The sequence below is a fragment of the Homo sapiens genome, chromosome 14 (genome assembly GCF_000001405.40).
Source record: "Homo sapiens chromosome 14, GRCh38.p14 Primary Assembly".
In the NCBI taxonomy this organism is placed as follows: domain Eukaryota; kingdom Metazoa; phylum Chordata; class Mammalia; order Primates; family Hominidae; genus Homo; species Homo sapiens.
Genome location: NC_000014.9, coordinates 57,468,621 through 57,494,804, shown reverse-complemented (window position 1 = coordinate 57,494,804; position 26,184 = coordinate 57,468,621). Strand labels below are relative to the sequence as shown.

Sequence of the window (26,184 nt, the reverse complement as noted above, 5' to 3'; positions counted from 1 at the left end):
CGGCACATTTCCTTCCAGTCTTTTTTTCTACTTTAAAAATCATAATAGACCAGGCACTGTGGCTCATGCGTGTAATCCCAGCCCTTTGGGAGGCCAAGACAGGTGGATCTCTTGAGGTCAGGAGTTCGAGACCAGCCTGGCCAACATGGTGAAACCCCTTCTGTACTAAAAAATACAAAAATTAGACAGGTGTGGTGGTAGTAGGTGCCTGTAATCCCAGCTACTTGGGTGGCTGACTCAGGAGAATCACTTGAACTGGTGAGGCGGAGGTTGTGGTGAGCCAAGATCGCTGGGCTTGGGTGACTCCAGCTTGGGTGACAGAGTGAGACTCTGTCTCAAAAATAAATAAATTAATTTAATTTAGTTTAAAAACATAGTAAATAGGTTATCTTCAAAAACTCAAGGTTTACTTAGACCATTTATTCAAGAATTTTTTCCCCTTATCCCCAGGAAAAAAATTTCTATTATCCTCCTGTCCTGCAATGTATTCACCCCCTTCAAAGGCAACTCAAGTCATCGACAGAAAAATCAAATGACGCTTTAGCCGCTCCGCTGCTTTCTTTCCTATTTGGGGGATAAATTCTTTAATTAAATTAAAGATTAACAAAGCCTTGGCAATCAGCATGCATCCTCTTAATTGCAAAGATGGCTTAGCTATTCTCAGCAGTTAGTTTTTTTACAAAGGTACTTGCAATGAAAGGGTCAAGTTTAAGACTTCTCTAAACCTCTGCTCTACATCTCTCTCTGTTAATAACCTTCCTGGTGTTCGATATTTGTTTAATGATCAACAGTGGCTTCTATTCCTATCACTGAGTATTTCAGAAAGTAGCATAACCAAGTCAATGTTTAACTGGATTCTTTGGGTCTGAAACGGCAAAGTTGAAGGGAAGTCTCCATGGAAACCAGCCTCCCAGGAAGTGGCCAAAAGGGTTAGTGTGCAGTGAAACAGAGCTAGAAGGATGCCATGAAGGAAATGACTGCTTTGTAAAGCGAGGGTAAACTTCTGAAATGCTTTGATTAAAATAAGCTATATTAAAGACCCCAAAACCACTTCCCTCGCAGCTTTCCTCTGAATGTCTTTCACATGAAATGGGCCTGAGTCACTCTAAGACTCACCTTAGGGTGATCAAAGTAGCACCTTTGCAAAACAAAGAGGTAGAGACTCCCTCGGCTGGCCGTGTGGACTTTGCATTCAATCAGAATTTGGAAGAAAAGACTTCATATTCACTGGCAAGACTGCAGGACCAGAATAAAGCCTTGGAAGGGCAGCTGCCACCTTTACAAGAAAACTGGTATGGAAGATATTCTACAGGTAAACATAAAACCCAGCATGAGATGTGTGTATCTGGACCAAGGAGCATTATTAATAGGTTTATCTGACTGTCTCCATGATCTCAGAAAGTTTCTAAATTCCTGAAATGTAAAGGAATTTAGGCTATCTTTGAAAACTCAAATCTTTCAATGAGGATTGAACATCAGTTGAAAGTATTCTGGGTTCATTAGAATGGGAGTATAAACTGTACAAAGGACTTTTCACTATTCCATATGAGAAGGATAAATCATTTTGTTTCAGCTCAGTTTGTAATGCTTTCAATGTTTATACCTAGTTTTGCCAGACCATTAAAATTATATAGATACTAGTGATAAATGATAGCAATCGCGTTTCAGTTAGATTCTAAATTTAAATCATTCTCTCCAGTATAGTTTAATGCACCAGACTTTGTGGTTTTGAAAGCAACACTTTAAGAGTGAGTTAATTCTAACATGAATTTTGAAACCACCCTAAACAGTATTGATTTATTGCAGTACAGAGGAGTGGATGAGTCACCCTTTTCCCAACCCCACATTCTTCATGGTCATCTGCAGAACTAACAGAATTCTTTCCCATTATGATTGGAAGCTCTGAGCCTGAAGTGGCCATAAATCCTGGGATATTTTATAAGCCATGTAAAATGTTTTATGATGACCACAATGATAATTAAACAGACATTCTCACTTAGAAAAATATATGTTTATTATATACATATATATATGTATATTGTTTTCCCTTTTCTTCACCTTCTGGATCAATAACACAAATAAGTTTCCCTTATTGGATGCCTTGTTCAGAAAGCCTCACATTCTCTTTTGGTACCTAGCAAATCTTGCCTGGAATGATTTTTCATGGCTATTGTCTGCAGAATTGATAACGTTTGGTTGTTTCTATATGGCCTGTTTTTATGTTCTTTATGTTCTTCAAGTTCTTAAGCACATGGATGGGAATTTTCCCCTTAGGAATTTTTTTATGATAGATAGAGGGATAGGTGATAGACATGATTTAAAAAATGGAGCGTGAATGTGTACTAAGAGTATGCAATGCTCCTATTGAGGAATTCCCTTTTTATCCAAACCCCCATTGAGAGTTTTAAGATTTTGGTGACAGAGAGAGACTCTGTCTCAATTAAAAGAAAAAAAAGATTTAGGTAACTGAATAAATGGTGAGCTTATGTCTGAAGTGACAAAATCACATTTAAAAATAAATAACAAGATCATGAGAATCCTCATGATCTCCCATATTCTCACCCCAGCTCCATCAAATACCAAATCGAATGACCTTGGGCAAGTTACTTCATCAATTTTTTTCACTTGTAATCAGGGGTAAAAATAAATGCCTGACACAGCCTATGCCAGTTGAGGAAAATCTAATTAAATAATGGAGTAATGTCACTAAAATAAAAAAAATAAGGATTAGTAAGCCTTCTGAAAAAATAGCTGAAAATACTTACATTGTTAAATCCAGTATGTTTGTTGTTTCCATCCTGCTCAATATGCTGGCATCTTTTCAAAAGAAAATAAGGACATAGTTTCCATCCCACTAAAAGTTAGAGAGAACAAAGTCCTTGAAGTGGTTATTCACATGTCTTAAGGAGAGAGATGCATAATTACCCAGGGATTTTTCCATTTAAAATGCAAAGTGGGACTGTAAAATAGTCTATGAAACAATCTAGAAGTCAGAATGTGTCCAGATTGTTAAAAGGGAAGGACAAGAACTTCATTCATGCAGCGCTGGTCATGGTAGCACTCCCAAGAGCTCAGGATAATCAAGCTGGAAAATAAAATCCATAATGGATCTGTTGAGCCTCTCTGTTTCCTAATAGAGGCTTAACTCTGTATCCCCAGCTTGTTTCATCAGGAAAGAATATTGATATGCTGTATTACAGTGGCAACCTGTGGAAATTTTTTTCACTAAAGGGGCTATTGAATTGTGTTCACACGTACTCCATTTCTTTCTCATCTCTGTATAATCACCTATCTATCTATCATCTATTTCATCTAAGAAGATTGTTTTCATTTTTTAAAGTTATATATTTTTCTGATGTCTTATATTTCAGGGAGGAGATTTTATGGAATTAAAATAAGTCAATAAATTTCTATTTTCCAGGCCAAATTCTGTTTGAAAAATATTTGCAGTCAACATATTGGTAATTTTGTAACTCTCCCCCTAAGTATGAACCTGAGTAGGAAGTTAGGAGAGCAGATATTAAATCCTGGGTCCAGACTAAAATAGTGTCATGTGCACTAATGTAGGTTCCCTGCTTTCTGTGTTTCATCTCCACATTCAACCCACAGGTTAGACATATATAACTGAAAAGGTACAAAATTGTGTTGACAAAGTCTAGTAACTAATGATTGCCTGATTTAATAGTAAATTATATTTAATGTTTTATTCCTGTTTCTTCCCCAATCCTTCAAGCATCCAGAGACATGTATTTTGACATCCCACTGGAACACAGAGAAACAAGTATTATTAAAAGGCATCCACCCCAAAGACTTCAAGTAAGATGAATTTAAAAGGCTTCATAAGGAATTTCTTGGATAAAATGGTAACATCCCTTTTTAAACTATAATCATCAAAGAGGGATATTGATAAGGACCAAGCTATTAATGAGAATGTTCTTAAAGAAAAATGTCATCAATCGCAAATACTCTATTACTTTAAGATTTCCTTTAGCAATGATTTCGCTTTTAAGACCAGCCACCGAAAGAAGCTAGTAGCAAGGACATAGATACCATGGAATTCAAGAGGCTTGAATCTAGCACTGATTAGTTGGGTGACTATGGGAAAACAACTTGTAATAAATAATAACAGCTACTACTATTTAATTACACCCTACTACAAGTCAGATACTATACTAGGCAATTCAATCTATGTCATTCATTTAATCTTCTTAGCCACCTATGAAAAAGGAAGAATTATCTTTGTTTTATACATGCTAGTCAGAGAGTTCAGTAACTACCCCCAAAGACTCACAGAGGCCAGATATCAACCAGGTCTCCAAAGTCTGTACTCTTAACTGTCAGCATAAGTAATTTCTATAGTCCTTCTATCTTTAACCTTTTATTGTTCTAGATGTTAACTGGTTGTTTAAATTCGGGACACTGGATTCCAAGGAAGCAAAGCAAGAGCTTTAAACGCATTCACCCCAATAAATATTTAATGGGTTCTCTGCAGCTAGCTATACATTTTAAGAACTCTCAACCTAGAAAGGGAATGGGTAGATTGGAGTGGTCCTTGAAAATGAGCATCATTGGAAGGAGGGTTTGGGGCTCTCTTGTGAGCAGGATCTATCACTGACATTTGAAGCCAAATCCCACCTGCTACACAATTCACCCAGATGCCTGGACCAATCCCAGGGGTACTGGAGCTCATTTGTTGGGGATTATTTCTGTTTCAGTTGGTTTTTATTTACCTGTCTTCTGCAGAAGCTCACAGCCATTATTTGAAGTGATTGTATCATTTTGTCTCAAAAGAGTATCTTTTCCCAAAATATTAGAAACTATAAAATCATTATTTAGATAAAGAAAAATAAAATGAAATATAACAAATTAATATCTAATTTACAAGTTTTTACAAATCCTCTAGGTAAACAGGGCAGTTTAAAATGTGTTTTATTCCTAAATCAAATACTTCCTTTCAAAGGATGAGTTTAATACATGTTTCTGTGAAGCCTCTAAGCTGATTAGTTCAAATAGAAGATATTACTCTAGTAAAAAATATTTGTCTAGTACTTTATAGCTCACAAGTACTTTTTATATCTATCAGTCCTAAACAAAGGAGGTTAGGTTTTGATTTTCTCAATAGTCAAACAAGGTCAAAAAGAGAACATTGGTATTTCAGAGTCAAACACTGCACCACCACCCCCATACACACACACCCTAACCAACCATCTTAAAAACAAAGAATCAAGACAAATGAATTATTTCAGTGCAAAGACTGTGCCTTTTTTTTCTTCAACTTTTAAGTTCAGGGGTACAGGTGCAGGATGTGTAGGTTTGTTATAAAAGTAAATAAGTGCCACGGTGATTTGCTGCACAGATCATCCCATCACCTAGCTATTAAGCTCAGTATTCATTAGCTGTTCTTCCTGATGCTCTCCCTCTCCACCAACCCTGACAGGCCCCAGTGTGTGTTGTTCCCCTCCCTGTGTCCATATGTTCTCATTGTTCAGCTCCCACTTATAAGTGAGAACATGTAGTGTTTGGTTTTCTGTTCCTGAGTTAGTTTTGCTGAGGATAATGGCTTCTAACTCCATCCATGTCCCTGCAAAGAACATGATCTCGTTCCTTTTTGTGGCTGCATAGTATTCCATGGTGTATATGTACTACATTTTCTTTATCCAGTTTATCACTGGTGGGCATGTAGGTTGATTCCATGTCTTTGCTATTGTGAACAGTGCTGCAATTAACATATGCATCGATGTATCTTTATAATAGAATGATTTATATTCCTTTGGGTATATACCCAGTAACGGGATTGCTGGGTCAAATGGTATTTCTGCCTCTAGGTCTTTGAGGAATCACCACACTGTCTTCCACAATGGTTGAACTAATTTACACTCCCACTAACAGTGTAAAAGCATTCCTTTTTCTCCGCAACCTCTCCAGCATCTGTTGTTTTTTGGCTTTTTAATATAGCCATTCTGATTGGTGTGAGGTGGTATCTCATTGTGGTTTTGATTTGCATTTCTCTAATGATCAGTGATGTTGAGCTTTTTTCATGTTTGTTGACTGTATGCATGTCTTCTTTTGAGAAGTGTCTGTTCATGTCCTTTGCCCACTTTTTAATGGGGTTGTTTGTTTTTTCCTTGTAAATTTGTTTAAGTTCCTTGCAGACTCTGGATATTAAACCTTTGTCAGATGGATAGACTGCAAAAATTTTCTCCCATTCTGTAGGTTGCAAAGACTATGTCTTATTCAATCTTATGTCTTCAGCCATTAATACTTAATATGAGATCCACAAAGGTTTGTGAGTAAAATGAATGAGTAAATGAATGACAGTGAGACCCATCATCCCTGCTGGAGGGGGGATAAAGCACTCAAAGTGCACTCCCTGCTACTGCAGACCTGTAATCACTGTATTAGAAGTCTGTACCATCACTGTAACATGACTGTATTAGAAGTCTCATTGACTAGCAAAAATAACTAACATGATTAATCAAAGGATATAGGAATGTTTTATTGAACCAAAGATCTGGGAGACACCTAAGCTTCAGGGAAGAATTATACCTTGCAACCTGAAATGCAGAGCTCTCTCAATCCCTAAGTTCTTCTCTGTGCATTTGCTATACTCTTTCTCCCCAAAGATCAGTTTTTTCTGTTCTTCAGGTACACAATGAAATATGGCCACCCTGAGCTTGTATCTTACAGTTCCAGTCAAATGGACAGATTGGCCTTTTTGACTCCAATTCCAGATTCCTAGGAGAAAGGATATCGGCTCAGCTTTGCTCATGATTTCAGCTCTGGTCCAATGAGCTATGGCCAGAGGATATGCTCATGCAGTAGATATGTGGGCAGAGTCATCTCCCCTGTAGACTCTGAAGTCAGCTCCCAGAGAGGAGGGAAATCACTAGAAACTTGGCAGACACTCCCAAAGAGATCAGCTATAATTATCTTCACAAATGAAGCTCAGCACATTTTCCAGCACAAATGAGTTTTTGAGAGAATAATACATGCTGGGTCCTCATGACATGCTAATTAATAGCCTAATTTCTGCCAAAGAAAATTCTAAAATTATTTTAAATTATTAAACCAAATCTAATTGTATGCTAAATTATTTGAGATATATTTTTGGCACCTTCTACTTCCTAAACATCTACTCCTCAAATAAAGAGCAAGTCATGAACTAGCGTTATCCAGCCTGGAGCTGAGAGGCTTTGAGAGCCTCTGCCAGGGAACTCCGAATCAAATGGGCCTTTTTATTGAGGAGTTGATTAGCACTGTCCCCTCTGGCCTGATCACCTTCTTATCCAACCATTTCAGGTCTAGCTTAAATTGGAGGTGTTTCCCCCACACATATAGTGTGTCCTCAGATGATCTCCTTGGATAACTCCCTCATCTTCAAATATTTGTTCAAATCTCACTGTCCCTATAAGACCCACCCTGACCAATCAATTGACATTGCAACCCCCATATCAGCACTCTTGAGTCCCCTGGCCCTTCACCAGATTCCCAAATCTCCTAGCAGACGCTTCAACTGATTATGCTGATCATTTGTTTTGTTTGAGAAGTCAAATAATCCAGAAGTCTTTAGACAAATGATACTTACATTATAAAGTGAAAATAAGGTGTCATTCTAACCGATTCTCTGGTAGTTCCTTCCATTGTGTTCTCTTTGAAGATGATGAAGTGAGGCATCTCACTTCCTGGGCAGGGAAAAGGAACATGCACACAAACCCAGAATTCTGAGGCAATTTCATCTGACTGGTTAATTTAGCAGAAGCCAATTTCACCAACAATTTTCTGCAGTGCTTCTCAAATCAAGTGGCAAAGGATTTAATGAAGAGATCCCAGGTGCAATGTTAGTTGCTGCCATCTAGTGGCTTTTGTGAAGGAATAGTGTGATTCCTTGGGCTCTTTTCAAACGCCAGGGAGAAACTCAACCTGGAGAGAGTTCTTGAAGATATCTACCACTGAACCCTTATTAGAATTGTGTGTTTAAATAGAAAGGCTGAAAATGGAAGAAAGAGATCTGTGAAACTACATATTTATACTATCAAAGCAAAAACTTGGTCCATGAATTTATGGATAGATTAGTTTAATAAAACTAAAAATTCTTGGCTTCTTCAGACTCAATTTTTCAAAAATATTCCACATAAAAAAATCCTCCGTAGTCTATTATGATGTCGTTCCTTTATTCACTTAAGGCAATGTGGAAGTCAATGGCCCCCAACCTAGAAAGAAATCATCAGAATCCCTGGGAGAGTTTTGAAAATATTTATTTCCAGGACATACCCCAGACCTGTTGAATCTCAATCTCTAGTGAAGGGGCCAAGAATTTCTTTTTTTTTTTTTAATCCCGGAAAAGTCTGATGATAAGCCATTTTGGATAACATATAGTGCAGAAAAGAGCTTTAGATTTGGAGCTGGACACACTTGCGCTTAAATCCTGGAGATGCCACTTTCTAGCTGTTCAACCTTGGACAAGTCAGCAACCTGTCTGAAATGGGGAATCTTCGTAATTATCCACGGAGTTCACATGAAGATTGAATGAGATTACATATTTATAACCCTGGGCATGGCGTGCAGTAATGGCTGCGAAGGCATATAGGCCTAATGAGAAAGAACCAAATCCTGAACACTCTCCATGTCCAGAGGATGGCACAAATATTTGTTCTCCCCAGCTTCCAGAAATCCCCCTTCAGTCATTCCTGATTCTTCCTCCCATAGGTGCCTTGAGGGGCTCCTCTCCCTTGGCCTCCCCTCCCCTTCTTCTCCTTCCCCTTTTCTTGCAGGGTTCTGACTTGATCAGAAGCTGCCTCTTGTGCCAGCAGGTCCCATTTGCTTTGCATCTTCATGTCCTGCAGAGTTAAGACTCAGGGAACAGACAAACTCCTCTTACTAGGATTGATCTCCTCTCATTACATCTTTGCTAAGTTATGTTAAAAGACCCACTTCCTCCTCTGAGGTGAGAATGGAACAGAGAACCACTTCCCACCACAAATGCAAATTACTATCTGGTATATATCTAACACAAAGATGAGCTCTTCCCCCTTGTTGTCTCTTCTTTGTCTCCACATCCTTTGCCCTTCTTCTCTTCCTTACCAGGTCTACTTTGGGCTGCTCCAGCAGAAAGGACTGCTGGGTGCTCTCCAGTCCAGGACCAGGGACCTAGAAGTGGTTGTACAGGGAAGTAGTGGGGAACCCAGGTCATGCTCCCCATTACAAGTGCTGAATATCCAGTATCTATCTTCCGTGGTTCCACTCTCTCTTTTTATTCTGGTCACCTTGAAAGCCAAGTTAACTTCCAAATCTACCCCCTTAATAATGCAACAAATCACACTAAAACTAAACCATTTTAAAGTAAATTAGCATGTGCCTTCAGCGTTGGACTAAGGTGGGAGTAGGGCTCACACTCTTTGCAGCAGCATGATGTCCTCATGGTTTTCCTCCTACTTCTTGAGCCATCACTTCCCAGTCTCCTTGGCCAGCTTATTCCTGGGCACCAGCCTCACCACTGGAACTCCTGGAGTCTGCAGTTGTTGGCTCTTCTCTTCTCACTCCTGACCTTGCCCATGACCTGGGCTTCACTCATGCTCTACTCTGGGATTATTCCCCAAAATCTCCAGCACAGACCTCTCCTCCCAAGCTCCCTGTATAACTCAACATCTACACTGGCCTGTCTTAAAGGTGTCTCAAACTCAATCTATTGCACACCAAATTTGTATTTTCCTTCTACATCCTACCCAAACTAGGTCTTCCTCTGGATTGCCCATCACAGGGTATGATAACACCCTCCATTCATTGTACTGTGGACTCTACTCCCCTTTACTAACCATAATGAATCTTGTTTGGTCAGCTTTAAACATTTGTAGAGCTCATCAATTTCCCTCTCTCAACCCCAGCCCATCATCTTTGTCCTCTTAGCTGATCTCTCCACATCCATAATTATTCCTTCCTAGTTTCCACACTGCAGCCAGCATGACCCTTTTTAAAAAGCAAATGTACTCGTGTCACTCCTTTGCTTAACGCATGTCAGTGTCTTCTCATTGCTCTTAAGGGACCACTATCTTAATGGCCTGTCAGGCCCTGCATGACCTGGCCCCTGCCTCACCTCTCAGCTCATTCCAAGCTGCTGTTTCACTTACTGTAAACTGCAGCCAACCAATTTCTTTCCATTCCTTCAAGAGATCATGATCACTCCCCACCTCAGGGCTATGGCACAACTTAGTCCCTTAAAAACTCCCAATCTTCCAATTTCTACTAAAAAGGTACTACCTTAAGGCACTTTCTTGAACTGCCTCCCTAGCCCTTTCCCTCCTGCCTTAGTTTGCTAGAAGACTGAGATCAAGGTGTCCATAGGGTTGGTTCCCTGTGAGGCCTGTGAGGAAGATCTGTTCCACGACTCTCTCCTAGCTTTAGGTAGTTTTCTGGCACTCTTGGGTGCTGTTCATTGGCTTGAAGAACCATCGCCCCAACCTCTCTCTTCATCTTCACATCGTGTCCTGCCTGTGTGTGTGTCTGTGTCCAGATTTCCCCTTTTTAATGAGGACGTTATCATATTGAATTAGGGGCTTGCCCTACTCCAGCATGACTTCATCTTAACTAATTATATCTGCAATGACCCTATTTCCAAATAAGTTCCGATTCTGAGGTATGGAGGGCTAGGGCTTCAACATATGAATTTTGTGGGGAGGCACAATTCAACCCCTAACACACCCTGTTTTTCAGGTGGAGTCCTTCAGTTATGTAGTGTCATAGTTCTGCCCTGCAGATTTTTTCTGCCCTGCAGGTTTTTTCTGCCCTGCAGTGTAATTATCACTTGAATAATCACACAAGCAAATGTACATCTATTATGCATAGATTGTAAGCTCCATGAGGGGCCACATCCACTTTTGGTGACCGTTGCATCCCCATGTCTGGCATGTAGCAGTCATTAAGTAGTCACTGAAGGAACACATAAACTCTGTGGCCCTCCACGTTCCCCATTGCATGTCAATGTCAAGAGACCAGACTTTGTCTCCCAAACCTGCTTGATCACTTCTCAGTGATCAAGATCCGGCTGGAGGCAGACCGGTTGACATGAATTGCTGCCCAGTCTTAGTGACCCCCTGAAATGCCAACATGATCTCCCCTATCAAGCCAAGCCCCTGCTAGAAAAGGACATCTCTAAAATGTGTTAGCACACTGCAGTTTCATTTTAAATGTGTCTCATAATCACCAGTGATTACTACTAAGGAGCTTCTCTAGAGATCTTAAAAACAGATTGCTTCCCTAAGGGCTGGAATAGTTCAGCTGGGTACCTAAGGGATGTGTGAAATAAAATAAATTCCTAGCGCCTCTTTTATCTCTAATATTCTAAGATCCTGGTGGTTTGATAACTTTGGACATGGTCCCTTAATGCAGACAGAAGAGTATCTTAGTCTCCTAACTCTCTGACCAACACTTAGATCAATAAGGCACTGTCGACAGTGCACTAGAATAATAAAGAACCCAGATAGGTTGAAAAGCCCTTTGTACCAATATAACTGTAATGCTGTTAGAATCACCTTTCCTGTATGCTCTCAGAAATAAGTGCCGCTTTTGCAAAGTGTTAAGATAATTTAATGTCTGGCTTTTCTGTTTCATCATCTCATGGCATGAGGAATGCTGACTGCTCTAAACGTTGAACTTCTAGAAGCTTGAACCCATTGACTTGCCACGAGTAATTACTTCAGGAAGACTCCTGAGCCAGCGAGAAGCCAGGACAATGCACAAAGCAAAGGTGAGCTGCAGCAGTAACCTGACAGGGAGGTGAACTGGGGGTGGGCGACACAGGATTGGGGCACTGGAGCACACTGGTCCTTTCATGCACTCTCTGCATGGAGGAGTTCAAAGACAAATCAAACTGTTAAGTCATTCAGAGTGAGAACTTTTCAAAGCTATTTATTCTCTTCTGTGCATGCCTCCAACTGGCAGTGGCTATTACCTCTTGCATGAGCTCTGCACCCTTTTCTGCTTTGTGTTGAAAACCAGGGCAATGTAGATGAGAAAAGACTTTTACTTAGAAATTGGTGATTCTGAAGTTTTCAAATCTGTGAAAAATTCAGCATAAGTCCTCCCTTTCATTCCTCCCCTCAGTTTAAAACTTTTTATTCTCAGTTTGCAGGAGAAATCTTATCTACAAGTTATTCCTGACTTATTTGACACAACCTCACCAAAAATTAATCCTGGGAAATGTCTTCTGTGTATCTTTTCCCTGCTATGCACTTATAATGTTCTGTTGACTAGAACTCCCCTCACATAGAAATGAAAGCTTAGAGGTAGAAGCAGATTTTCAACACTTTCCACTCCTAATTTGTTTTGGAGCTTGCTAGGTGCTGCTGTGTGGCTGGCTGACTTGACAAAGATGTCCAGGTGCTGTCACATCCTCAAGCCCACGTTTGTGGTGCTGACAGCATCTGTGGAGATGGCCCCTCCCTGAGGTTCACATCAGCTGACAGTCACTATCCACACAGCAACACAAAAGGTATTGTCAAACACATCATCTTTCCTGGCAACAGCAAATGACAAATGAAGGTATATTGACCTCTGGCTGCCCTCAATAACCGTCTGCACTGTCCCACTGGAGTTTATGATGCACTGGCGGGGAGATGTTCAGAGTCACAAATAATCAACTTCAAATCCTCCCTAAACTGCAATATTCTCCAAGGCTTATGCTGGCATATGGAAATGCACTCTATAGAAATAGGTTCCATTTCACCATTCAGCAGCTTCCCTCTCATTTCATAGCCAGCCAATTACTCAATGGTAAAAGAGGCAGGGAGAAAAAGAAAGGTTTCCTCAAACCAGAACACAATTCTGGAGAGGTGGTAATAAGCATCTGTTTACAAAGGAAGTGATATCTTGCCAAAAATGAGATGTGGAAAGATATTCCCATTTAAGGTTTACAAAACTCTATAGCAACCTAAAAAACTACATATATACACATCAAAGAGCCACTTCATTCATTGATAGTGACACAAAGGACTTGTCAGGGACACACGATAGTCCACTTTTGTCATCACAAGATATCTCTACAGGTTATGACTGATTAAGATCTGACTCTGTTTCAAAAAGGATCTAAACTTGTGAATTGCAGAGTCAGTAACAAATTACCCCATACTAACAAGTGTGTTGTCTTTCATAGCAGGTACTAGAAAAGAAAATGCAAACTCCAATGTATACTTCTGAGAACAGACAATATTTGCATAAGATGCAAGTGCTGGAAATGATCCGTAAAAGACAAGAGGTAAATACGAGAAGAGTGTCATATTTACCAAATTTTCATCACATAATCACTGCCCTGCCACATGAATATATCAAGCATAGATAGCCAGTCTTTACTTAGCATTTTAAATTTCGTCATTGAGGTTGAAGGTTCAACTACTAAAGCTGAGAAGAATCAGGAAGATTCCTTCTGCTGATAACCTTGTTGAGTCTTTTCTAAGTTTGTATCTGTGTATCTGTGTCGCAAGTCTCCATTTTTAAAAACAGTTTGCTCCTATGACATTCTGGACATAGGAAAATGGGGCTAGATCATTTTTCTTGGTTTAGTGAAAGGAGGAGGGGGTGAGTTGTTCTTTATTCTGATACCTAGGCCTCTCTCTATAATTCTTGCCATAGAATTATCTAACAAGAAAGACCTCTTGTAAAAAAAACAACCAACCAACCAAACAAACAAAAAAACCCTTTACCAGTAATGCCTGTAACTGTCATGTTCCAAATTCCTCCCTCTAGGAAATGAGCCTTTAGTTACTGCTCTCTGGAACTCCAATCATATCAGCTAGCTGACAGAAACACACTTTTGTAAAGGTCCTCATCTTAATTGAGCCATACCTTTTTGAGACTGGGTGCACTCACCTTTCTCTTAACAAGCCTGTCAATAAATAAAGTTCCCATACCTTCTAATAGGAAAAAGAAAACCATGTTCTGGTTAGAGGACTGCAGATGTCTACAGATAAGCACACAACTTGCAAAGTGGCTGATCTGTTGATCTAGTCTGGTGAAAGTAGCTTGGGAAGAACATTGATCATTTATAGTTGATGATTTTCAGGCCCAAATGGAGTTAAAGAAAAGTCTTCATGGAGAGGCAAGAATTAATAAGCAAAGTCCAAGGGACCATAAAGCCAAGAAAACCCTTCAAAGCACCCCAAGGAATGATGACCATGACCTTCTAACCATGTTGCCTGATGAAATCTTGAACAGAGGTCCCGGTGAGTCATGTACAATTTTTTAGTAAAACATTTCAAGTGTTTTTAAAACTTCATCAAATAAACTACCAAGGGAGGGACATGATGAGAAGACAGCAAACAGCTTTGAGCTCTTGCTGAGATTTTTACTTCCCAGAATATAGTGGGCATGTTGTCATGTAATTTTGGATGGCTGGGAGGAAAAGACAGAAGCTTAAGCTTGGTAATTAAATGTCTCTTTCTTTGTATGGGTTTAATATGCTTTGCATGCTTCATTGCAAGTCTTGCCTCATCCCTAGAAGCAGAAAAGGCAAAATAGCCTCATCTTGTGGTTAGAGAGAATGAAGCATATGAAGATATATTGCCGGCAGTCACATGGCAAATTTGCTTCAGCAGAGTTGGTACCATATGCAGACACTTATCTTCCTGACTGCACCCTTTTCTGTGGAGGTCAACTCTCTTTGGCACATTCAGAATTTCTAGAATGAATCACTGCCCAACCTAAGCTTGCTGTTCCTGCTGATCTACTGGCTCAGTGAACCAGGCCTCCAATGTCACTCTTCCCTATCTCCCTACAGCTGGTCGGTCACCAAGCCCTGCTGATATCACCTAGCAGTAAAATCTGCCCTTTCTCTTCCATTCCCAGTAGTATTGCCTTAGGTATAGCCCTGGTCCTGTTACACCAGGGCTCCAGCTACAGCCTCCTGACTTGGCCCCTCCCATTAGGTCTTACTGTCCATCCATCAATGATTCACTTCAGTGGTTCTCCATGTGGTCACCAGACCACCAGCATCAGCATCACCTGGGAACCTGTTAGGGCCCCAGCCAGAGTAACTGAATCAAAAACTGCAGGGGTTATGCCCAGTACTCTGGGTTTAACCACCCCTCCAGGTTATTGTGATTCCCTTAAAGTTTAAGAAACACTTAACTTTAAGTGATTCTTAACTCTACTCGGTAATTAAAGTATTACCACATACAAGCATCATCAGTATCACCTGGGAGTTTATTACAAAAGGCAAAAATGGAGGTCATACCCCAGACCTACTGAATGAGAACCTGCATTTTATCAAGATTGCCAGATGATTCTCATGCACACTGAAGTTCTAGAAGCACTGCACTAACATCAGAGTAATCTCATAAAATGCAAATCTGACCATGTCACTCTCCTGCTTAGAAAAACAAGCAGGATTCTTGTCAGCTTAAAAACAACATCTAAACTCCTTAACATGGAGCTAAGTGTGGTGACTCATGCCCGTAGTCCCAGCTACTCAAAAGGCTGAGGTGGGAGGACAACCTGAGGCCAGGATTTCAAAACCTAGCCTGGCCAACATAACAAGGCCTCTGTCTCAATAAAATAAAATAAACTCAACATGGGATCCTAAGCCATTCAGGATCTAGTCATTGCCTACCTAGCCTTTCTAGCTTCATCTTCTGCCACTCTCGCACCCAGCCCCCACATTTCAGCCAGGCCAAATTGTTTATGCTCTCAGATCGCTCTATGCTTTCTAATGGACAGGCTTGTCTACAACTTCTACGCTACATTGCCCCACCAATTAGAGCCCCATTAAGTTTTCCTTGTTTGTATTTCCCCAGGGCAAACCCACAGTTGAAATTTCCAATATTGTTCACACACACAGATCGCTGTGCCGTGGGCCAAATCCCCACATCAGCAGGACTGACCCACCGCTGAGAGAGCTGCAGAAAAGCTGGCTATGTCTCTGGAGGTCTTGAACTTCTAAGACGCAAAATTGCCTGCTGAAAGAGACACTGCTCCTACTTGGAGAAACAAGACGCTCGATCAATAAGTTAATTAAATAAGAAAAGGCTGAATAATTGAAAATCTACTTGGGGCATCTATTTAACCTATACTTCCAAGTCTCAGAATGAAATATCCTTTGTAGTCACATAAACAATTTTTACCATTTAAACCGTACCTTAAAAAATATACACAAAACAACCAAGAAAAAAACCTCACCTAAAGTTAGACATTTAAGAGTCATCACTTGAGAGCACGCCAAGAAAAACCAGCATTGGCAAAGTCCCTGGAAGATGTCTCAGACCTGGAGGGGACCAAGGAGAAACTGGCACATGGAGAAAGGGGTTTTCCTCTGCTCTCCTGATGCTTTTTAAAGCTGCTTCGTTTTGTTCAAGCTAAGGTTTGTTGAGTGCTTACTATAAGCCAGGTACTGTGGTTTGCCTTTAATATGCATTATCTCTTTTAATTCTCACACAACCTAGAAGGTAGGAGCTACTATTCGCCCCAGGGTGATAGAGCCAGAATTCAAGGTCAGGTCTTCTTGACTTGCACTCTCACACAGCCCCACCAGGACACCAAGGACTTGGAACTCTGTCAAGGACAGCTTTGGAAAAGTTTGCAAATGTGGGGGTTGTGAGTCCTTGACCTTATTTACAAAGAAGGCTGCACTCTGCGACTTCTGAAAGGAAAGTTAAAGCAGCTGGCAGACTTTGGAGCTCATGTTCTCCTGGAAGTGATGGAGTGTAGAGAAGGGAGAATAGAAGGAGTAACTCAGGCAGGAACCAATTCAAGTGCCAGTCAGGGAGGTGTAGCTGCATCAGTAGTGCACAAAAGCTCAGTTATGAGCAGAACCACCTGAGGAGCTTCTCAAGAACACCCAGTCATGCCTGTAATCCCAGCACTTTGGGAGGCAAAGGTGGGTAGATCACCTGAGGTCAGGGGTTCGAGATCAGCTTGGCCAACATGGTGAAACCCCGTCTCTACTACAAATACAAAAATTAGTCGGGCACAGTGGCAGGCATCTGTAATACCAGCTACTCGGGAGGCTGAGGCAAGAGAATCGCTTGAACCCAGTAAGCAGAGGTTGCAGTGAGCCGAGATCATGCCACTGCACTCCAACCTGGGCGACACAGCAAGACTCCATCTCAAAACAAACAAAAGAAACACCCAGTCCTGTCTCCCAGCTTCATCCTACCGAATCTGAATCTCTAGGTTGATGGTGAAAGAATTTTACATTTTAAAAGTTCCTCAAGTGATTTTGAACATTAACCAAACTTAGATGGACTAGATAACCCTTGAGAACTCTTTCAACACTTTAACCGTATGAGAATCTTTTTCTTTGTAACAACTCCTGTACGTGTGTGTGTGTGTGTGTGAGATACACGTGACAAAATGAGCCTAGAAAATGTAGATTTTGCTAGCATGAAATAGAGAGGGAATTCTAACTCTTCCTATTATAATGATATCATAATTAACTAGACTTTTAGAATAACATGTCTGCATCAACTCACTTGCCTATTGCTGAAGTTGTTGGAAAGAGAAGTAAAGCAAATATCACTGGAAATTTGTTTGATGATAGAGAGATTACAATGCCTCCAAAGGATATCATTCTGTTCTGTGCTGCAGTGTTCACTGTGCAGCCCTGTACATGTAAAAGTATAGGATACTGGGATAATAATGGATACAGCTAGTATTTACAAGTGCTTCTAAGAATTTTAAATGCAGCATTTAATCTTCATATTAACTCTACAAGGTGAAAATTATTACCACCTCTCTTCTACAGATGAAGAGTCTGGGTCCAGAGAGGTCCAGTCACATATGCAAGGTCACAGCCAGCCAGTGAGAGGTGAAGCTGCTCAGGCGTGCACTCACGGGGCACCTGACTCCTGAGGCGACAGCCTTCACCTCTGTGCTCGGCATTTGTCCTAGCGATGATTCCTTTTTGCTTATTCCCAGAGAGCATCTTTGATTTCTTTCCACGCCTTCTAAAAGTAGTTCGCTTTCTCCTACAAATGGAGTGTAGCTAAGATCTTACACTTACATAAGCATTCTACTATCAGGGTCTGGTCATTAAGCATTCTACTATCAGGGTCTGGTCATTAAGGTTCCTCTGTAGCAGTCTCCTCTTAATGACATACTGGCCCATTCTTGTTCCCCTGTTGAAAGGTGAAATGAGGGTTGTGGCTCTCTTGTGAGATAAAAGTCAGTTGCTGCTTTCTACTGCATCTTTAAAATGAAATCTCCCACGCTTTACATGTATTTTACATACATTCCTATAATAAATTACATATACAATCATATGACACAAATGATATATAATGTACACATAGTGAATGTCACTCTTTTTGGTGTACAAGTCTATGAGATTTAATGTGTTTCTGTGGCTCCTACCCTTTGCTGAAGCTGTGACATGAATGAACACAGAGGGTGGGAAGAGCACCGGAACTGACCTCAAAGCCCTTCCCTGAGTCCCAGTAGTGCATCTACTAAATGGAAGCTCCATGAAGGCAGGGACCTTTTCTTGTCCCTAGAATAGTACCTGACACATGATAGCCTCTCAATAAATATTAACTGTATATTTTTCTATATAATTTTATTCTAGAGAGAGAAAGAATATAGCTAAATTCTAGTTATTTAACCTCCAGGAACCTCAGTTTCCACATCTGTAAAATGGGAATAAAGTTATTGTATACCATGTAAAGTTTATGTAAAAATTAACATGTATAAAAGCACACATAAAATGTAAAGTGTGGCCAGGCACTTTACAGGCCATAGCTCATGCCTGTAATCCCAGCACTTTGGGAGGCTGAGGAGGGTGGATCACTTGAGGTCAGGAGCTCGAGACCAGCCTGGCCAACATGGCAAAACCCCGTCTCTAGTAAAAATACAAAAAATTAGCCAGGAGTGGTGGCACATGCCTGTAATCCCAACTACTGGGGAGGCTGAGGCACGAGAATTACTTGAACCTGAGAGGCAGAGGTTGCAGTAAGCCGAGATCACACCACTGCTCTCCAACCTGGTCGACAGAGAGAGACTCTGTCTCAAAAAAAAAAAAAAAAAAAAAAAAAAAAAAAGAAGCTAAGTGCCGTACAAATGTATGGGAATATAGACAAAACTGAAGAAGGATAGAATTGATGTCTTTTTTTTTTTTTTTTAAGACAGAGTTTCGCTCCTGTTACCCAGGCTGGAGTGCAATGGCATGATCTCGGCTCACCGCAAACTTCGCCTCCCAAGTTCAAATGATTCTCCTGCCTCAGCCTCCCGAGTAGCTGGGATTACAGGTGCCTGCCACCACGCCCAGCTAACTTTTGTATTTGTAGTAGAGACGAGGTTTCACCATGTTGGCCAAGCTGGTCTCGAACTCCTGACCTCATGATCCGATTACAGGCATGAGCCACCGCGCCTGGCCACAATTGATGTCTTATAGTGAAAACAGTCATATGCTTCAGGGATGTGTCACTTTGAATCCATTATTTTAATGTCAGCTTCAAAATTCTGGTCTTATCTGGCCACCTGCACTCTTTCTATAAAGAATCTTGTTTTATTTTATTTTTTTATAGATTTTATTTATTTATTTATTTATTTATTTATTTATTTATTTTGAGATGGAGTCTCACTCTGTCGCCCAGGCTGGAGTGCAGTGGCACAATCTCTGCACACTGCAAGCTCCGCCTCCCGGGTTCACGCCACTCTCCTGCCTCAGCCTCCCGAGTAGCTGGGACTACAGGCGCCCGCCACCATGCCCGGCTAATTTTTTGTATTTTTAGTAGAGACGGGGGTTCACTGTGTTAGCCAAGATGGTCTCGATCTCCTGACCTCGTGATCCGCCCGCCTCGGCCTCCCAAAGTGCTGGGATTACAGGCGTGAGCCACTGTGCCCAGCCTGTTTTATTTTTTAATATAGCTCTGTATGTGAAATTCTGGGTTTGATAGAGTAGTGATACATTTTTCTGAAACACATAAAATACACAACCATCAAACAGTTTTCATGCTTTACGTGATTCTTCTACTACCTAAATCACTTCCTATTTTTCCCACTGACAGCTGTTGCTTTCCTCTCTCCCTAAATTAATTTTGGAGTAGGATACACTTTCCTTTACTCTGCTCACCCGAAACCCATTTAGGTTTTTAAACACTGTGTTTTTATTTTTTAAAGTCTATAAACCACAGAGAATTAAATGAGGATTTATAAAAATGTAACAAGTAATAAGAAACCTAGCTCAGAAGCTCTCAAATTTTAATGCTGTGTACACAAAACTATGTATGTAATACTTTATGAGTGACAAAGGATTTATTTTCAAGGATGAAACTGAATATTTGAATTTTGTCTCATACACTAACATTAGACCTGAATTTTCATAACATCAATGGTGTTGTGGGACTTAGGCTATCATTAATATTTCACTAGATCCCACCACAAACAAACATTCCCCTTCTGTTTCAGAGCTCCTGCTGATAGCTGGATGTTCTAGAAAATTCCTGTTCCCAGTCTGAATGGTGCCTCTGGTAGTTCTTGACTAATTTGCAGAGCAGAGATGATTGGCATTCCTGAGCCCCAATGAATGGGGCCTTTTTTAGGTCCTAGTTACCAATACTTCCCATCTCCCAAAATTCTCTGATTGCTCATTTGTTTATTCATTTATTCATCTATTTGTTCACCAAATATTTATTTAGCACATACCAAGTGCCAGGCATTGTGTGGTCGTTTCATTGTATGGTGATGAGCCAGGCAGATATGGTTTCTGGTTTTAACAAAGAGATGTTTAACAAGAGTATAACAGGTAGACCTGGTATCTGTGGAGTCAGGGAAAGTTTCCATGAGGAAGGGACATTTAAACTGAGATAAGAAGTAGCTGGATGAAGTGGGGAGGAGGGCATGTAGGTGTGAGGACCATGGGTGCTGGAATTTTGAAAATGGTAATCAACCACAGCATGTGCAAAAGTCCTGCAGTGGGAAGGAACACGATGGACTCTAGGTGAATGAGAGATTCAGAGAGTAACTGGAGATGGTTCTGGAGACATGGGCAGGGCCAAATCACACAGGGTTTTGTAAGCCATGTCAGATAAGAATTTTAAACTCTATCTTAAGATCAATGGGAAGCCACTGATAAGGCAGGAGAGTGGCATAAGCAGGTTCATATTTTTAAATGTCACTCTGTCTACACTGTGGAGAATGGGTGGGAGGGGAAAGTAAAAGGATGAAGGAAGACCAATTATAAGGACACAACAAAAGCACAAGTGAGAGATGATGTTGAGACCAGGATAGTGGGGTCACGATCAGGATGGAGAGAAGCAGCCAGATATGAGATCTTTAGGAAACAGAATGATCAGAATTATCAGGTGATAGGTTAGATGTGAGTGCATGGAGAGGGTAAGGAGGCCAGGTAGATTCCTGGGTTTCTCTTGAACAATTAGGCAGACAATGGGGTAAAGTTAGTACCGTTTGCTGAATTAGGGTAGCCAGGAGCAGAAGCAGGTTTGTGAGAGAAAGAGAAGGTAGGGCTGCATTATTGCCAAGTAGATATCAAAGTGGAGGTGTCCAGTTTTACAAAAACGTCCTTTGTAGCTTAGGAAAGAGATCAGGGCTGCAGACGTTAAGATGGTTATCTGCCAGTGCTATCTAAATAGGCAACAACAATCATTATAATAGTATTCAAGGGGAAAAACTGGTAGCCTCTCACTGAGGCCCAAGAAATCACAAGGCATGAATTCTCACATTAAAATGCTTGTTTCCAACTCACCAGGCTGTATACATTCAATATGTGTAGCTTTTGTATGTCAATCTTAGTTCAATAAAGTAGTTTTTAACAATATGGTGCACAAGGTAAAAAGAAATACTTGATTTTCTTATATAATAATACACAACTTCAGATATCAAGGGCTTACATAAACTATGCCAAAAGATTTAATAAACAATCATCATTAAGATGACATCCAAAAAGTTATGGTCGTTTCAACCAGTCTAGTGGGAAACTCTGGGCTTTGACCTAGGATTTTTGTTTCAGCTCCAAAGTGGTTGGGAAGATTTTGTTTTCTTAAAAGCCAGCTTTCCTTGAACAAAGCTCCTGTTGCTTTCTGGAGTGCCTTATAAAGAATGCTGGGAACTGCTTAAATAAAAAACTAAGGTAAATACATATGCACATAAATAAAATCCCAAACTAAAAATAAATTGTCTCTTTTAATAAAAAATATAAAGTAAAATAGAATGCCAGACTCACTGAACTTCCCAGTACTATGGGTCTGGAGAACAGTTTAGACATCTCTTTCTAAAAGGCTGCAACAGGTGATTCTGCTATGAAGCCAGAGTTGATGTGAATGTCAGAAGTATATATTATGTGTCTAGCACATAGTAGATGTTCAACAAAAAGCACTACCCAATGTCACCTGTGCAATATTCTTGCCCAAAATGTTTAACCTCAATTTAATAACAAGGAAATAATAAGGTAAGCTGAAATTTAGGATCATTCTGCAAAATAATTGACCTGGATTCTTTAAAATGTCAGCATTACATTAGGAAAAATGAAAAAGACAATGAAGATGGAAGAGGAAACAGAAGAGGAGAAAGAGGAGGAACGGTGATGGGGTGTAGAGATTGTGGGAGAAAGAAAGAGAAGAAAAGGGTAGAAGAGTATTCTTGAATTAAAGGATACTGAGATGAGAAAATAAAATGCAATATATGATCCTAGATTGGATCCTGGACCTAAAGATTAAAACACAAACAGCAAATAAAAAGTAGTTATAATGGGCATTATTGTGACAACCATGGATATTTGAATATAGACCATATATTAGAAAACAGTATTATATCAATGTTAAATTTCTTAAGTGTAATAATTGTATTGTAGTTATGCAGAGAAAATGCCCTTGGTCTTAAGAGATTTGTAGTGATATATTTAGGGGGGAGGTGACTCTGCCACTAATTTTCAAATGGTTCAGCTGAAAAGTATGCATAGATAGATAGATATATGCATATATATGATGAAAAAGTATTGTGGCAAAATGTTGATGGATGGGGTATATAGGTGTGTGTTGTATTATTGTGACTTTTGGAAGATTTAAATCATTTAAAAAATAACAACTAAAAAATGTTTAATGCTTACAGAGACACCAGTTGAAATGTATATATATATATATTATATATATATATAATTTTTCAAACTATGTATATATAGTTTGAAAAACCACCAAGCAGATTATTTATTAAGCTAGGCACTTAATAAACAAATAAATCATTGCTAAGGGAAAAAATTAAAGAAACTTAATTTTTTTGTAGGAAATTCAAAGAATACAGAATTTTTGAAACATCAAGCAGTGAATAACTACTGTCCCTGGAAAATTGGCAAAATGGAAACATGGCTTCATGAACAAGAGGCCCAGGGACAGCTTCTCTGGGACAGTTCCAGCTCTGACTCAGATGAGCAGGGGAAAGATGAGAAGAAGCCACGAGCACTGGTGAGGACCAGGACAGAGAGAATCCCACTTTTCGATGAGTTTTTTGATCAAGAATAAGAATACTATTCATTAACCTAGAAACTGAGTGCTTTGAAAGCTTGTTTTACTCTCAAAATCTTCCAAACTGATATATGAATTACTTTGAGGACAGCAAATCACTTTGGTAAAAAGAAATGATATCTTTAGAGTCTTATGATTAACAAGTCCGTCACATGTGCTGTTAACTATTGCTGCATAACTAAATGCCTCAAAACACAGGGGCTAACCAAGAGCCATTTTATTGTCTCACTTTCCTGTGGGTTGCTGAGTTCAGCTAGGTGGTTCTTCTGCTGTTCCCTTTTGAAATCTTTCATGTCATTGAAATTGGACTACATTTGGACTACTAAGACTGGAGTCATCCAGAGGCCCCATTAGGACACTGACACAGGGGGACCTTGCCCCCTATCCATGTAGCCTCAGAGCATCTGCATATGATCTCTTCAGCAGGACACTGCAGAGATTTCTCTCATATGAGCCCAGGGCTCCCAAAAGCAATTGTCTCAAGAGGAGGAAACAGAAGTTGCCAGTCTTCTTAAAAGCTAGTCATAGAACTGACTTTGCATCACTTCCACCATGTTCTGTTGGTTAAAGTCATAGACCAGCTTGGAGTTAATGCAGAAGAGGACTACACAAGGGCATGAGTGCCAAAGTGTGGTCCTTTGGGGTTCATCTTTGACATTTGCCACCTCACCATGTTTTTAAAAAGAAAATTAGATTACATAAAACAAATAGATGGGCTGGATGTGGTGGCTCACACCTGTAATCCCAGCACTTTGGGAGGCCGAGGTGGGCAGATCACTTGAGGTCAGGAGTTCAAGACCAGCCTGGCCAACATGGTGAGACACCGTCTCTACTAAAATACAAAAATTAGCCAGACATGGTGGCATTCGTCTGTAATCCCAGCTACTTGATGCGAAGGCTGAGGCAAAAGAATTGCTTGAACCCAGGAGATAGAGGTTGCAATGAGCCAAGATCACTCCACTGCACTCCAGCCTGGGCGACAGAATGAGACTCTGTCTCAAAATTAAAAAACAAAAAACCAAAAACAAATAGATGAAAAAGTAGACTGGAGACAAATAAAAGTGAGTTTCTAAAGGAAATTCACAGTAATGCTGCATTAAACACTAAGCTCACTTAGGTCACTTTCTAGTGAGCTAACCGTAACAGAGAGCCTACAGGATACACGTGAGATAATGTCACGTGTAGAAGATCGTTGTGAATTAAAGTTCAAAATTAAGACTTCTTAGATTATGATGTAGATTTTAGAGCTCCTTAAAACATAAAGCGAATCTTATAAATGTTCAATTCTAAAGTTATTCCACTTGGAAAAATTAGCTTTTGGGACAATTTTTAAGAACTTTTGTGTAAAATGCAGCTCCATGTTTAGCATAATCTAAAAATAATTTCAAGCAATCCAGAATCTTCCAAGAATTTATTAAAGCTTTAAAACAAAGCAAAACAAAAAGACCCTTTTGTGCCTTATATGGGAAGACTCCAAAAACAGAAAAAAATAGAGGAAAACACCACTTCAATTTGACATTCAATGCATTCACATCAGAAACTAAGAAGATAACAAGCCTGAGATGTCAGGTGATAAAAATTCATGTTTCTTCCAAGGACAGAAGGCTATTAGATTGTCCCAGGCCATATCTATTCCCAGTTCTTTGTGAGTAGTCTTCTTACTTTTTCTGTGGTAGGTAAGAAGCATATTTCCACCAAAAGAAAGCATGCATTGTTTGACTAGCCAGCTTTCTAGAAAAAATGAGATCCTTGAGAGGATAAACAAATCCAACCTATTCATGGTGTCCTCACTTATTGTGGTCAATTTGGAAGGCTTAAAACACAAAAAATGGGATGGATAACTTTGAACACTAAAATTAGTGGAGCCAAAGGCACGTCTTCACCATTCTGTTATGTGACTTAAAATTCAATTTCACGAAACCCACTTCCACAAGCTTAATGAACTGTGAGCTACATGAGGGCATAAACCATGTCTTCTTTGTATGGTATTTCTGCTTCCTAGCAGGACAGCTGGCAAAGAGTTTATCATTAAATGTTTGCTGAATTAATGAATGTGTTGAGTTGACTAGTCAATTAGAGAAACACTTGTTTCTCTCCAGCTATGCAGTTGCTCACCCTCATTTCCATCATCTCCCAGGAGTCTTGGATAGACAAGGTTGATTATATAGTAAAGAAAATGACTTTTTCTTGCAAAAGCTGTTGCCGTTTATACATCTAAATGAATGGCCAAAATTAAGCATTGCCTTGGGATACAGGAACTATGTGTATATGCCAATAAGGATGCCATAGCTCAAAATACTTTTCAAAACTATCAGAGTGTGTTAGCTTCCAAAGAAAATCCATCCTAATGCCTTCTCTGTTTATTAGCCAGCTCCATGTAGAACTCCTTATAATGCAGTTATGATGAATTCAAGGATTTTAAAGGAGTAATAATTATAGTAATAATTGCCAACATGCATTTCCTGTTTATTGTGGGCCAGTACTCTTCAAATATTTTACCTATTTAATCCTCATAATGATTTTGTAGGTCAGTATTAATATCATCCCCATCTTAAAGATGAGGAAATTGGGACACAGAAAGGTTAAGTAAGTTGCCAGAGTCACCTAGCAGAACTTCCCTTTGGAGTAGACTATTGTTTACCAAAAGTGACCTGATAGAAGCCAAGGACTCTTCCCTCCTTTCCTCAATTTTACTTCCAACTCACCAACTACATTACACAGCACTCTGTAT

The 26,184-nt window shown here is 39.9% G+C and overlaps 1 protein-coding gene and 1 long non-coding RNA gene across 16 annotated transcripts in view; one reads left to right on the top strand and one right to left on the bottom strand.

The window, feature by feature from the left end:
* The window catches only part of LOC105370519 (uncharacterized), an 87,246-nt gene extending 83,476 nt beyond the window's left edge, over window positions 1–3,770 (bottom strand). The window contains exon 1 of the long non-coding RNA XR_007064194.1: window positions 2,766–3,770. This is a non-coding gene — a long non-coding RNA (uncharacterized LOC105370519). The remainder of the gene's footprint in view (window positions 1–2,765) is intronic.
* CCDC198 (coiled-coil domain containing 198) lies at window positions 948–25,505 on the top strand. 15 transcript variants are annotated; one of them, XM_047431523.1, is made up of 7 exons: window positions 948–1,292; window positions 3,734–3,816; window positions 11,654–11,740; window positions 13,145–13,246; window positions 14,051–14,210; window positions 19,101–19,223; window positions 23,215–25,505. In XM_047431523.1, exons 2-7 carry the CDS (start codon window positions 3,745–3,747, stop codon window positions 23,448–23,450), a joined length of 780 nt encoding a protein of 259 aa, XP_047287479.1. In that variant the 5' UTR covers window positions 948–1,292; window positions 3,734–3,744; the 3' UTR covers window positions 23,451–25,505. The 15 variants fall into 15 exon arrangements, with proteins under 15 accessions (XP_047287479.1, NP_001269985.1, XP_047287478.1 ...); NM_001283056.2 differs by having other exon boundaries at window positions 948–1,312; window positions 13,148–13,246; XM_047431522.1 differs by having other exon boundaries at window positions 948–1,312.

Excerpts from the sequence above, each read along its gene's own strand:
- CCDC198 (XM_047431522.1), top strand. The coding sequence starts at position 1,090 with ATGGGCCTGAGTCACTCTAAGACTCACCTTAGGGTGATCAAAGTAGCA. Across the intron at positions 11,741-13,144 it reads GGACAATGCACAAAGCAAAG|CAGGTACTAGAAAAGAAAAT; the intron begins GTGAGCTGCAGC and ends TGTCTTTCATAG. Across the intron at positions 19,224-23,214 it reads CCGAGTAGCTGGGATTACAG|GAAATTCAAAGAATACAGAA; the intron begins GTGCCTGCCACC and ends ATTTTTTTGTAG.